This window comes from Homo sapiens, chromosome 6 (genome assembly GCF_000001405.40).
Source record: "Homo sapiens chromosome 6, GRCh38.p14 Primary Assembly".
Lineage (NCBI taxonomy): Eukaryota > Metazoa > Chordata > Mammalia > Primates > Hominidae > Homo > Homo sapiens.
This window is the reverse complement of record NC_000006.12, coordinates 50449941-50465202: the sequence shown is the minus strand read 5'-3', so window position 1 is coordinate 50465202 and position 15262 is coordinate 50449941. Positions and strand designations below refer to the sequence as shown.

The 15262-nt window shown below is 35.8% G+C and overlaps 1 long non-coding RNA gene across 1 annotated transcript; it reads right to left on the bottom strand.

Moving 5' to 3' along the window:
• Positions 1-986: 986 nt before the first annotated feature.
• LOC124901479 (uncharacterized) lies at positions 987-3162 on the bottom strand. The gene is made up of 2 exons (XR_007059903.1): positions 3107-3162; positions 987-1108 (listed from the first exon to the last, which is right to left on the bottom strand). It is a non-coding gene; the product is annotated as an uncharacterized LOC124901479 (long non-coding RNA).
• Between the last annotated feature and the right edge of the window lie 12100 nt (positions 3163-15262).

The window sequence follows — 15262 nt, the reverse complement described above, 5'->3', positions numbered from 1 at the left end:
ATCAAGCCCCATCAATATTGTTTAATGATCACTATGATAGGGGGATCCCTCATATTTCTTGCTCTGATTGTGCTTTTTGCCAGTGATCTTTATTTGCTTATCACAATCTGGGTATGCAGCAGTGCCTGGAGGTATATAAAGTATTGGGCAAGTTTGCTAAATTTTCCTAGAGCATCATTTTACTCAAAGATTTGGAAAAATTCTATTAATACAAACATGGATCATTTATAGCATAAAATTCGTGTGCATTTAAAAGATAACATGCGAGCTTATGATTGGCCAACCATGGCTATGTTCCTAAACCCCAGGGATATTGTTTCATGTTATTCTGTGATTAGGGCTAATTTCAGGGGGAAAGTATGAAATCCGTTAGAAGTGAAAAGAACAAGAGAAGAAATCCAGGGAGGCATAATGACAAGAAAATAAGCCAATATACTGAGTTTCTGATCCTTGTTTTGCCACTCATATCCTTTATAAATCTTCACCTCTCTGGGTGTCATCCATTTTCTTATTTGCAAAACGAAAGAGTTAGACAGATTTTGAGGTCCCTGCAAGCTTCTGGCATTCTATGATTTTTATGATTAAATTACTCTTTTCCACTGAGAATTTTATCCTAATTCATAGGAGGCCAGTTGACTATTTATGGTAGAGCCTTCCCCAGCCCTGGCTTCTATGGTAGTCCCCATCTGTGACCAGAGCTGTCAATCATTCTGTGATTATTTCCACTGTTTTGCAGAGTCAAAGGCCTACTCTAGAGATGGAGTTTCATTTGAAATACAATTGAGCACACATAGTGCGAAAAATGTGTTACCCCAAATGCAATGGGGTAAGTCTCTAGAAGAATTTACCCCCTAAATTTAGGCTATCAATGAGGTAGTGTAAACCACCAGAACCGCGACTTGACAATTTGTCAGTCAACTTCAGCAAAACTATAGAGGAACAGCACAATGAATTAATGAATAGCAACAAATCCCCATGACAACATGTTAGTTCATTAAAATTTTATCAGCATTCTTCCTAAGGAAAGTGTGCCTTCTGTTCTATGTTGAGTTTCTTCAACATTGTTTTACAGCCAATTCACAGCATTCTGGTGCTTCAAAATTAGTTCCTGTGGAGAGTGAGATACACACAGACTCTATATTGTGTCACACATGGGTCTCCTGGGTGTCACGATGAAATATTGCCTGCATTTTTGTGTATCTTATGGCTTAAACATTAGCAAGCATTTCCCTACTGCTTTTTTATGAAGAGTAGGTTAATTAGCCGAAAATCCATCTCTGTGTTAATTTTTTAGCAAATGCATTAAATTGCATTTTATAAATATCTTTCTAATATTCGACAAAAAAAGGCATCAAATGGGAAAACAACTGAAATATATTTTTGTTTGCTGTCACAGTGGCATTTTCCCTCTGGCTTGGGAAAACAAAAAGTAACACACATGCCTTGACATTTTCCTTGGATTCTTTTTTTTCTCTTCGAATGTTTTGTAATATGTAACCCTGATGTTAGTGGTCTGGGTGTTCTCAAATCTTCCAGTATTATAAGAAAACAATTGCCTTTTAAAATTTAGAAAAAATGTCTCATAATCCCATCCTACAAACAATAAGAAAATCATCACAGTTTCCAATATTTTTGAGGGGTTTTAGAGACTTACATTCATCTATTCAATTTCTGTTTCTATTCAATTTCTGATCTCATGTGTTTCTCCTTTTATAAAATGACCTAAATGGACTTATATATGGAAGTCAGCCCTCCTACTTTATGGACTTGATATACTATGGTTTGGGATTACAGTAATTTGGCAATCTCTTTATTTACCTACACAAATGAAAGACTATGATCTTCCCTGAGATCACAGATTTAGACCATTCATCTAAATATACACTTAAGTATCATGAAATCTTTTATTTTTCACGAAAGTTAAAGGAATGATTTTCAACATATCATACAGGCCATTCAATATGTTTACAATGGACACTTCTTATGAGTTAGTTAATTAGTGTTAATTACATTGTGAAATTTAGCAAAGTATATCAAGTACAATAGTATATTTCTCTTGACCTGAACATTTTATTTATAGGATATTACAAAATTATCAGATATTTGTACGAGAATTAATGCACAAGGATATTCATGACAATATTATTCATAATAGCTAGAAAAAATGAATTCAATCTAAATATCTAATAAGAAGATATTAATATAATTTGTTACAAAGTGACTTGGTATTTTTTTCTGTATGCTTATTTGTATTTTCTAATTTTTTATGAGGGCCAGGTAATACTTAATAGTTCCTTCAAAAAGGAAAAAAAAAATAAATCAAAAACATTAGACAAATCAAGTGCAGAAAGTACTTTTGTAAGGTAAGTAAATGTTTAAAAATAAAATTATTTGCATTATTTATAGCAGGATTTCTCAACAGGTTAACTATAGATATTTTGGTTCAAATATTTCCTTGTGGAAGCTATCCTGTGTATTGTGGGATATTTTATAGTATCCCTGGCCTCTACCCACCCGATGCTAGTAACATCCCTACTCTGTAACAACTAAAATGTCTGTAAACATTGCCGTGTGATCCCTGGTGGACAAAATTGATCCCCAGTTAAGAACTGATTTATAGGTATTGCTTCATTGTTTGATTTCATGTATCATGATTCTTAGTTCATACATGGAACATTTATTTGCTCTTACATGTTTATGCTTCTTGTAATATTTCACTTTTTCATGCCCTTATCTTGAAGGATAAGTTGTATTTTCTTCCCTTCAGACAAAGCCCCAGCTCGGAAATTGGGTCAGAGTATTTGACAAAGCGTGAATGGTTTAGAACACTGGATCTTAAAGGGCTACCTGTTAACGTGGCCATCATGGCTAGTTGCTAAAATCAAAGCTATTGAGGGAAGACTTGTACCTCCAAACCCACAAGGTCTACACTGTAAGTTTACCTTAAAACAATAAGAGACTACTTAGGCAGATTATTCCAAAAGTTCTACATTTTAAAATTGTCTAGTGCAAATATAGATCTTATTTTCAATAATTAGGCTGACTCTGGAAAATGTATGACTCAGGATCAGAAAGTGTGCCTTTGAGTTCTAAGTCTGCCACTTACCTGTTAACATGACTCTGGACAAGTCTTTTAACCTCTTAAAGCTGAAGTTTCGTCACCTGAAAATAAGAATAGTATTAACAGCCCTACTTAATTACATGATTATAATAATAATGAGTGAATTTATGGTTTGAAAGTGCTGCGTAGACTGCCAAGAACTCCACACCTATTGGGAATTCATTTCTCATGGAGGTTATCAGTGGCTGAAGTTGCCATGGCAACTTTCTGGCTTGTGATGGTCTAAAAGCAAGGCCTAGTATATACATGCCATCTATTTGCACCTAGCAAGTAAACAGGGGGAATTAAGGAACTTAACCTGAATTTTTTTACTAGCATTTTCTGAATATCTGTTTCCTATATCTCAGTACTCACAGTGAAAATAAAATAAATCTTAGATGCTGGTGAATATGAAATTTAAAACTAAAAAAGAAAAGAGGAAAGAAAGTAAAATACAGGTGAATTATTCAAAAAAAAAAAACTTAGGAAACACATATATAAGGATATTTCAAGAATTTCCAGTGTGAGACTTCCTCTGATAATTGTTTTCTCTGCTTCCTTCAACCCTGTTAGAATGAATCAACCAATGGGGCTTGTGCCATATTCCCTAGGAGCCCTTGCTACACTGTAATATAACTAAACATTAGAATATCTTTTTTGTGATTACCTGTCTCACAGTTTCTCTCCAAACCAACCTCTGTGGATTTCCAAAAACTATTGCAAGCTAGCATCTGAACCAGAAATGGAAGATATGCCAACTCTCTTGCCTGGTAATACTATGCTTGCTAAGTTCAAGATTGTAGATTAACAACCTACGAAATCAATAATAAAATGGATCAAAAAACGTATGCATTCAAACATCTTATTTGACTTTCATTTGTTCTTCCTTTCTTTTCAGTTCTTTCAAATTAAAATATGAGGTTGAGTTTCCCAGATCTGATGTCAAAGAGAAGATGAAAATAAATGTTGAAGGAAAATGTGGTGTGAGTGTGTGCGTGTGTGTGTGTGTGTAACAATCCATGAAAAAAAAAAGAAACCACCTAGTTATTCCTTATGGGGAATAGCACACGTCTGAAAAATTATTGCTTAATATAGTCTTAGATAAAGGAACAGCTTAAAAAGAGTTAATGGCAATAAACTTAAACACATAAAGACTTATAAGAAAGGTTTAACTAGGGAAATGATTGAATCAGTTTTGGACAGCTATGATAATGGCAGAATATGCACATGCTTATGTATTGATCCAGCACACAGCTGGAATCAGCAATGTCAAGTTCAGGAAAGAGATACATTGGAAAAACAGATATATATTTGACCACTATACTAACACTGGAATTTATAAGAATGAATGAGGTGACCAAGATTAAGGAGCAAGTGTACAAAGTTAAAAAATGACCCGCAATTATCATTATTTTTCTGCTTTTATTGTTTCTTTCTACACTAGAGCTTAAGCTCTGTAAAAGCAGAATGTCCAACATTCTTATTTACTGTTGTGTTTTGGCACCTACCATGATGCCTGGGGCATGGTGTCACTGGATGAACAGGCAGCAGATGATGTTATTCATAAGTTAATATAGAATTAACTTGTATGTTGTTGTTGTTGTTACTGGTTTTAATTGGAGTGATCCCATTAACAAGAAAATTTAAAGACAATTTTCCCTCTCCCCTCAGATAGGTCTTTTTATTGTTTATTTGTGGATTTGCAAGTGGTATGGGAGTCAGCATGAAGAAATTTAAACATATCTCTCTGTTTTAGGCTGTATGGTTATAGACTGTCATGGAGGCACACTTCCCACTTTGTATGAAGGGCTGTGGTCCCACAAGTGATCGCATAAGTGATAGAGCCCCTTTTTACAAAATTACACTTTGGTTATGACTTAGCTATAGAATGACATTCCAAAATGCATTTTGACTTTTAAAGACAGGACCTTTCTTGACTTCAATGTAATTACTAACTCTAAGGAAATATCTCTCCCCCTCTTTATCTCTTCATTTACATATTGCCTCCAGCTTCTGATAGGGATCTTATGAGGTGGCATTTGTCCTTCTATATTTTATTCTATGCTCCTATGATTTTAAAAACAGATTCTACCTTGGTATTATCAATTTCTTAGGTGTGCTTTTCTTCTTTTCCTATTCCTTATGATATTTTCTGCAATCCTAATTCTGATGTCTCCCAACTCACTTGTTGTATTCTTCAGGAATCCTTTGGTTGAAAGAGATGGAAAATTTGATGGAATAAACAATGAAGGGAGTGTGGTAGGCTGAATAACGCCCCTCCTAAAATTGTCTATGCCGTCATCCCCAGAATCTGTGAATATGTTACCTTATGTGGTAGAAGGGACTTTGCAAACATAGTTAAGTAAAGGACTTTGAAATGAGGAGATTAGACTCCTCATCTAATCACAGTGATTCTTAATCACAACAATTCTTAAAAGTATCACAATGATTCTTAGGTAGGATCAGTGTCAGAAATAGAAAATGTGATGGAAGCAAGAGGTTGAAAGATGAGAGGAAGGGGCTATAAGCCAAAGGATGTAGATGGTCTTTAGAAGCTGAAAAAGGAAAGAAAGAGTCTCTCCCCTGAAGACTCTAAAAAGGAAAACAGTCTTGTAGACATCTTGATTTTAGCCCCTGAACTTTAGAATTATGAAGTAATAAATGTGTGTTGTTTTAAGCCACTAAATTGTGGTAATTTTTACAGCAACAATAAGAAAATTATATAGTTTATTTATTTGCTTATATCTGGTTAAGGTAGAACTGAATCCAGTTTTCTTTTTCTAATTTGAGATAATACATTTATTCTTGTATTAATCTTATAATGAAACATCTATGATTTAGTGTAAAATGATGCACAAACTTGTGAAATCAACAGACCACAAAAACTTTATGGATGTTTTACTTCTGCCCTCATATTTTTAGTGTCTCATATATTTCTAATTCTACAGGATTTTCTTTTATCTAGTCTTCCCAAAGCATTCAACTTTTCAAAAAGGTGATAACTTTTCTTCTTTTCCCTCATATTTTATTAATTTATTCAATATTCAATAAAATTTTACAATTACAATAAATTTGAGAAGAAACACTGATGACTCTTAATTATGATATTGTTGAACTAGACAGAACCACATTCAGGGTGATGGTTACCTTATAATGTTTTAATGAAGGCATGAAGAGTAAATCAGAATATTTTTGGAATATAGATCAATTAAGAGAACATATATAATAGCACAACTGACATATCTGAATTAGGTTTCATTGGCCTGGCTTGGTGTACATCCCTGTACTTGACATTATCACTATGGCCAAAAGGATATAGCACAGATAACACTGGGTGGTTTCCCATCAGTCAATTTCAGCAATCTCTATTTTCCTTGACTTTTTCACCTTCCTCCCACTATAGAGACTGAATAATCCAGATACTTGATTTTCCATTCCCTATTGCTAGTAAGGATAGACATGTGACCCAGTTGTAACTATTGAGATGTAAACAGAAGTCTGCTCAGGATTTCTGAGAAAGGAAAGGATTTTCTCTCCAATAAGTGGTAAAGTGGGTGGAAGGTACCTTTCTTATTCCACCCTAGCAATTTCTTGCTTGTAGGTACAGTCATATGACTATGAGGGACAAGCTAAGAGACTCTTTCGGGAACCTATACCACAGTTTGAAATTATGGAGCTGCTGAAATAACCTAGAACTTGTTATTGAATTATGATTTGGTCACATTACTTTTGTTTCCTTTTGTAGATGAATGCTTCTTTACTGATGGAGAATAGAACAAACCGAGAGCTATATGGCAATTATCTGCTCACTTTCAGAGATAGTGTATGTATTGGTTGAATAGTTACGGACTGACACAGTCTGGACTGAGTCATTACTCAAAGGAAAACAAAAATGGAATTATTAAAAGAAGGAGAACATAAATCTTACATGAAAATAACAGAAATCAATGTAACATGTAATCTAAAATACCAATTTTTTTTTTTTTTTTTTTTTTTGAGACAGAGTCTTGCTTCGTCTCCCAGACTGGGGTGCAGTGGCGTGATCTCAGCTCACTGCAACCTCTGCCTCCCGGGTTCAAGCGATTCTCCTGCCTCAGCCTCCCGAGTAACTGGGATTACAGGCATAAGCTACCACACCTGGCTAATTTTTGTATTTTTAGTAGAGATGGGGTTTCACCATGTTGGCCAGGCTGGTCTCAAACTCCTCACCTCAAGTGATGCACCCACCTCAGCTTCCCAAAGGGCTGGGATTACAGGTGTGTGCCACCATGCCTGGCCAAAAAACCTACTAATCTTATATGGGTCCAAAGTTAAAATGCAAGCAGTAGGTATTGTTTCCAGAGAAACCTGAAGTGCTAAACTCTACTACTGTGTTTCCCTAAACTTTGCTAATGTTTCCTTTCCTTTTCTCGTTTTTCCTAAGATTCTTGTCACTTGTAAATTAGAAACCTATATGCAGTAGGAAGATAAGCTGATGTGAGCTAGAGTCAAATGAAATTGTCAAAAGAATGCCAGTCATTTTAAGCTGCTGTCTGAAGTCTGTCTGCCTGTCTCTTTCCTGTAGTCTCTGTAAGACAGCTCTTGTTAAAGGTATATGTCATGTCAGTCAAACACCATAGGTGGTGTTTGGAGTTTGCGGTATTGACAATAGATATTTGCTTTTGTCTCCCATAATCCCATCTTAAAGGAGTGTGGTAGGTACAGATACCTCTTGAAAGAAAAGAGACACAAATGATGGACCAAACATTCTAAATAGAGGCAATATTGCCCATTGTTTCTTGACTTACCAAATGGATCAGCTTTAACAAAAATTTGAATACTAAATTATTTTTATGACTGATTTTATACAACCATGTAGCTTTGCAGCTAGACAGAAAAATGCATGGCTTCCTAAGTTACAATCCAATAAAGTTACTGACAATCTGCTAATTAAAGTGCATAGTTTAAAACCCTGTGAAGGATGACATAAAACTTAGAAAACAAAAACTCCTGCATTTAAGTGACTTACAGTAGTGGTGGAGGATGTGGGAAAGGCAAGATAATTTTATAATTATAATTCACAGAAACTAAGTAAGCACCAGAATAGAGGAAGAAAATATTTTAGAAATTCTGATTGGCATCTGGTTTGAGGGTCAGGGAATCTTCAAGATGAGAATGATATTTAATGTGATATTATTTGTGGGGACTCTGAAAATGAACTCTACATTAAGATGGGAACACCTGTATGTTAAGCCCAGACCTTTGGTGAAATAGGTAGATGATCTGGAAAAAATTCCCTTTGTTAATTCAGATCTATCTGTAACATGAACAGTGTTTTATTAGTGATAGTATTTATCTGTGATTATTACTTTATATGTATTTAAGTATAGGACTCTAATTAAATACAAAAGGATTGGTAAGTGCTTTTATAATTAACTGGTATGAGTACTGATAGCTTTTTTTTTTTTTTTTGGAGACGGAGTTTTTTGTTCTTTTTGCCCAGGCTGGAGTGCAATGGCACAATCTTGGCTCACTGCAACCTTCACCTCCGGGGTTCAAACAATTCTCCTGCCTCAGCCTCCCAAGTAGCTGGGATTACAGGTGGATGCCATCATGCTCAGCTAATTTTTGTATTTTTAGTAGAGACAGGGTTTCCCCATGTTGGTCAGGCTGGTCTTGAACTCCTGGCCTTGTGATCCACCCGCCTCGGCCACCCAAAGTGCTGGAATTACAAGCGTGAGCCACCGTGCCTGGCCTAGTATCTATTTTTTATATGTAAAAAAGCTCTGAGAATAGAATCATTCATGTTCTTATAACATTATATTTATTACTTTTTTTCTTCTACCTCATTTAAAAATAATTTCAGCCACAGAAAACAAATAAAGTGAATCAATTATTTTGTGAGGGTAAATTAATTCCTTGATATATAAGAATTAATATACAACTTAGCACTAATAAATCTCAAAAGGCAACTGTGTTTCAGGCTAAGAACAATACTTTAATCAAAGAAAAGACAAAACAAAACCAATGCTGATTAGCATAACAGGGAGAAAAGAAAAAGCATCTACCCATTTTAGAAGTATTTGAGAAATTCTATATCCCCAAAATAGAAAAAAATATATAAAGTCAGCTAACCAGACTGCTATAGAAATGTCTTCATTTGTTATCTCTTCTTTAGCCTATATGCCTTCCTTTCCATCAGATACACTGAATGCTTGGCCTACATATCACTCAGACACAGCTGAGAGAAGGGCTGAAGTTAGCTCACGCTGTAGTTTAAACAGCATAAGGAGGTCATGGAGGCACAACTATATTCTCAGGTCTACATGCACACTGAATGCTTACTTTGAGCTAGGCACTATGCTTGATGTGTGTGTCTATATACACACACATATACACTCATTTAAGCTTTACAATAGTCCTAACGGGAAGATACTGTTACTGGCATTTGACAAATGAAGAAGCTGATACAGAGAGAGCTTTATTAATGAGATAAGATGCTACAGTGGAAGCTTCAGTTTAGACACTAAAGTGATACGTATTGTATCAAAGGAAGTTTTGAGGTATACCACATGTGACTAGTGGTTTTAAATCCTCAATGAATCTTAAATATGTCATAAACATGGAGGGCATAGAAAGGATCAGGCCATTGCAGACTGGGGAAGAAATTTTTTTGAAGATGATTTCCTTGGACAGAGCTGTGAGCTCTACCCCTTTGCAAAGGGGTCAGAGTTGAAGTTATTTCCTTTTTGGAACCGAAAGATCAATGACTGAAGTGAAGAGGGTGTAAATCGAGGCTAGAGAGATGACTAGGGTCCAGTTCACGCAAATATTCTATTTCTTTTCTTAGGATAGTGGAAAATTGCGAAATACTTTACACTGCAGGATGACATATTTACAGGTGCACTTTTGCTACTCCGTGGAGAATGAATGGGCCGCAGCCAAGAGTGGGAGCAGGGAAGGCAGTAAGTGGTTCCACTGAGAGCTGATGGCCTGGGCCAGCAGGGTGGCGGTGGCAGTGATGAACTCAATATGTATTTTGTAAATTGGATCAACAGAATGAGTTTATAGAGTAGATACTGGAGGGAGGGGAAAAAGCCAATTTTTATGGTACAAATTTAAAGGAAAAGAGTAGATAATATCACACTGAACCTTCTGGGCTCTCTGAAAAAATGGCTTTTTTTTTTTTTTTAAATTCAATCCACCACCAAAATCAGCTCATGTAAAGATGTCTAATGTCCATTCTTTTGGCAATTAAGGAGGAATTTTAAAGGAAAATATATGTCTTGTCATTTCAAGAATGCATATACAACTCAGGCCCTGCAGTTCACCGCTAATGGCACTTAAATATCTTTAGGGAAAGTGAATCTGTTGATTGCTAAAATTGCCCAGTAAACATAATACACTGAACCTTGGAAAAAGTGCAGATAGAATTTACCTTGCCAATTGGCCCCTGCCTCCCTTGCTTTTTTTTTAACTTCCTTGGTACATTTAAACAACGCATACCCTGCATGACTTACTCTTGGTAGTAATCTCAGTGGCTCTCAGTCTTTCTTGAATTTACTTCTTCCCAGTGATATGTTTCCAGAATGCACTTTCCTTTTTATAGCTGAAGGATTTCTTTACTCTGCAAAATCAGACTTACTACTCATGTGTCCCATGGTATACTTAGCAAGACACATTTTTTATTGCTACCCATACACAAGGTAAAAATGTATATATATGTATTTTGTATATGTATATAAAAGGGTTGACATTAATTATAACCACTAGAACATCCTATTTTCTGACATAATTTTTAAAAATTACTATTACTTTATTTTTATTTTTAGTTTTTTTAGAGTGGGGTCTGTCACTCAGGCTGGAGTGCAGTGATGCTATCATAGCTCACTGTAGCCTCGAGCTCCTGGGTTCAAGCAATCCTCTCACCTCAGCCTCCTGAGTAGCTGGGACTACAGGCACACACCATCACGCTTGGCTTCTGACCTGATTTTAATTCAGATTTGGTTATTACAGAATACTGGTTTGCCTTGGTTTAATAAATCCCTTCCCTCTTCCCTACTTGCCTACCTTCCTGGCTTCTTGCCTTCCTGCCTTGCTGCTTTATTTTAGTCTTCCATCATTTTATCCAATAAATATGAGGGCCCACTCAGACTCTGGGCTAGGCCCTGGTGACTTAAGAGTGAAAAAGACAGATAGAGTCCTTTTTCTTACAGCTCTTACATGTAGCAGACAGAGACCATTATAAACAAAATAATTTTAGATATTAATAAGGATTATCAGGAAACAACACTATTCTCAGTGAGAAAATAGAATGCCATTTTAAACAGAATTCCCATGGACTGCATATCTGAGGAAATGCTATTTCAGTTGAAAACTGAAGGATAAGAAAGAAAGAGCCAAATACACTTCAGGGGAAGTGCTTCCATCAGAGGGAACAACACGTAGTTGTCACAGGGAAGGCCACTACAGTGCAAATGGTACTTTGTAAGATGTAGAAAATTATGCCTCTTTCTCAAGACACTGATGGAAAGTTACTGCAATAAATACACAAATACGTGAATAATTCAAATATGACCTTGACACCTAATATGTTCATTGCATACTCTGTACCATTTTATGTTGAAGCTTGGCAAAGGCCCTGAGGTAGGAAAGACATTTGCATGTTCATAAAAGTAAAATATATCTCATGATCCTAGGCTGTATTCATCATGATGGAGAAATAGGCAGGAATCAGAGTCATGGAGGAGTTTTTTCCCCCCTGCAAGTCAACAATGTCACAACATTGAAAAGGTATTTATCCAGTGTCCTCTACCTTACCCTAATGGTGGCAGAATGGCTGCAATATCTCCATGTATCTCCACAATTTATTTCAAATGCGAGACATGGGGAGTAGTTCAGGAAGAGAATTTTGCTTACTATTTGATATCTTATTTTCCCTGTTTTGCTTAGCTGTCCTCTCAATCCCTTTTCTTCCTTCTTCTTATTTTCCTCTCCTCTCCCTCCTTTCTTTTCTTTTCTCCTCCGTCTCCTCATCTTCCTTCTCTTTCTTACTCTTCCTTCTTCTCCTTCTTCTGTTTGGGGAAGGGAATGTTCCCTAGAAGCCCTTTGCAGGACTTCATCTTATGGTTATTGGACAGTGCTGGCCATTCCTATATACCTCAGACAGGGACCACCTGCTCTGATATCAAGAGACACCCAACTAAACTTAACACCTGCCCCAAATCTGAGCCTTATTTTCCACAGGGAAGATAATAAGCAGTATAGTATCTACTAAAGTCTTATGACCTTACAAAAGAGCCTGGAGCAATCAGAAGCTTCAAAGGCTGTTCATAGGACAAATGACACCATGTCATGTGTCTTAATGAGACAAGTCTGAGTGCTGAATGGTGAATGTATTGAAGACACAAAAGTGGTAGCAGAGAGACAAGTTAGGCATTTTTTTCAGAGGATCAGAGATTTAAACGTGACCAACACTAATGTGGTAATAGGAGAAATGAATGAAAGAGGTAATGTAATCCCAGGTAGACAGGCAAGGATGCAACTCTGTTCATTTTGCATCTTTGGCTTCTGGCTTAGAGCTGGACACAGACTGCTAAACACTATCATTAGAAGAGAGAAAGGAGGGATGGCCCGTTATTTTCACCTTCTTTATTTTCCTTGTATGTATGAGATGACATAAAAACAAATCAAATCAAATTAAAAGAATTGCTTTTCCTTTACAGGTTTAAGTTTTGAAGAAAAATTTTTGTAAATCTTTGTCTAAATGGAAACCATGACTCATCACCGAGTCTTATGGCTTGTTTGTTTCTGTATTTTTTTCTTTATTCTTTTTCATGCCCTTCCTTGCATGCGGCACCTCACAAAGGCTCTCAAAGACTTTTCACTCGGTTTCAGAAGGTGACGCAGTTGAAACTCTGGCTGCATCTGCTATGACAGTGTGTGTGAAAAGACCAGTTCCTCAGGGAAAAATGCTCCTATTTCTCTCCCATTGACTTTATAGGCATAAGGAGACTTTTGTGTAAAAGTGGCAGCATGCTGTAAATCTCTACTCCCTGTGTGCCTTAAATATCCATGTCAAGTGTGCTAAATTTATTGACAAAATCCACACTGTTCTTCCTGATGTCAGTACAGAAACACAAGAGCTACAGATGGACAAGCTGTGTTTGGGTCTGCCTTACACATCAACAACAGAATTGCCTTTTAGTTCATCTTCCATAATCTTTATAGCTGATGGTGAAAAAATCATGGTTTCAGCTACTTGGTTGAAGCCTGCAGCATTAGCAATGCAAGCATTTTATTTAATGGCTTTCACCTGGAAGAGTGAAATAGCTGTATGGTTATGTAATTCTTTTAGGGTTACTTCTTCATTATTTGTAAAAGCTTCATATCATCTTTTAGAAGACATAAGAAGCAATATAGAACTTCAATGCCAGAAAAAGCTCTGGAGAGCTTCCTCTGGCCAAGGGGAAGTCCCGAAAAACTATTTTAGAGTAACACATTTCCCCTTATCTTCGCTGTTAAGATTTTAAAATACCTGGCCTCAATACTTGATAACCTCCAGATTAAACTTTTTTTTAAACCTAAGCTAAAATTTACAAGGATTACTAAGTGAACAATTAAAATGCTTTGTCAAATGTATGCACTGATGTAACCAACTTTCCAGTCCAGGTATAGAACATTTCTACCTCACTGCAGTAAGTTCTCTAATCCCTCTTTCCAGTCAACCACTTATGCCAGTTGGAAATGGAGAGGCAATCACTATTCTATTTCCTATCACCATATATTTCTTTTCATCTGTTTTTGAAGTTTGTGTAATTTATATACATTATTTGTGCTTGTTTCCTTTCACTCAACATAATATTTTTAAAAGTCATGCCTGCTGTTGTGTATATCAGTAGCTTACTTATTTTTATGAGTGAAGTAGTATTTCATTGCATAAATATAACTCAGTTTTTCCATTTTCTTGCTTGTGAATATTTGGGTTCTTTACTTTTTTTATTATTAGAAATAAGGCTATTAGGGAGATTTTTCTACTGATCTTTTGGTGGATATGTTTTCATTTTCGGGGGGAAAACTTAAGAGTAGAATTGCTGGGCCATGAGGGAGATATACAATTAATTTATAAGAGACTGTAAAACATTTTTACATTGCCACCAAAGTTTTGGAGAGTTTCCATTGCCCCATATTGTCACTAACATTTGGTGGTGGTGCCAGTTTTTTGCTTTCTTTTTTATTTTTTTAATTTAGCCAATCTAGTAGGTATGGAGTTTTATCTAGTTGTGAGATTACTTTTCATTTCTCTGACAAATAATGGTGTTGAGTCCTTTTTATGTGCTTGTTAGCCAGGCATGTATCATCTTTTGCAAAGCATCTGCTCGTCTTTTGCCCTTCTTATAATTTTTTAAGTTAATGTTTTGTAAGATTTTTTTGTACATTCTGAATACAAGTCCTTTGTTAGATATATGCATTGCATGTATTTTCTCCCAGCTCGTGGTTTGCATTTTAAATTAATAGTGTCTTTGGATGAACAGAAATTTTAAATTTCGATTAAATCAAAGTATCAATTTTTATGTTAAGTCATGGAATTCAATATTTCAATATACTAGGTTTACCTCTACCTCCATTTTTTACCATAATAAACTTTTGAATTATGTGTAATCAACCTAACTAGAAACTTTGATTAACCAGGACTTTTTATGTTACTTCACTAATGAGAAAAAGAAGACAATAAACCTATTTTTCTTGCATGGTAGCCTAATTCATATAAGGCCACTTTCAATTTTAAACATTTGCATTGCTGGATAAAATATAACCAAAACATTAATATTCATGGAAATTTAAAAGAACATAAGAGGGGAATAAAGAAGACCAAAAACCTCAAGTGGGAGCAGTAACAATGCAAGTTGATGGAATAACTGCTGAGCAAAGTGTTAGTGGTAAGTATGAAACGAACCGAGATATTGGCTTTAACATTGAGAGGCTGAGCTGTTGAAATCCTTGCAAGACTTGGAGATATGGCCCAGGGTCCATGCAAGGTCATGAGATAAAACCAACCTCTCTATACAACTTTGAAAATGCTCTGTAATATAGGGACTAGAAAATTCTACCTCTTTGAAGCTTGTCCTGCTTGGGGCTCTGATTATTTGGAAAAAAAAAGTCTCCCATAAAAAAGTATGAAAG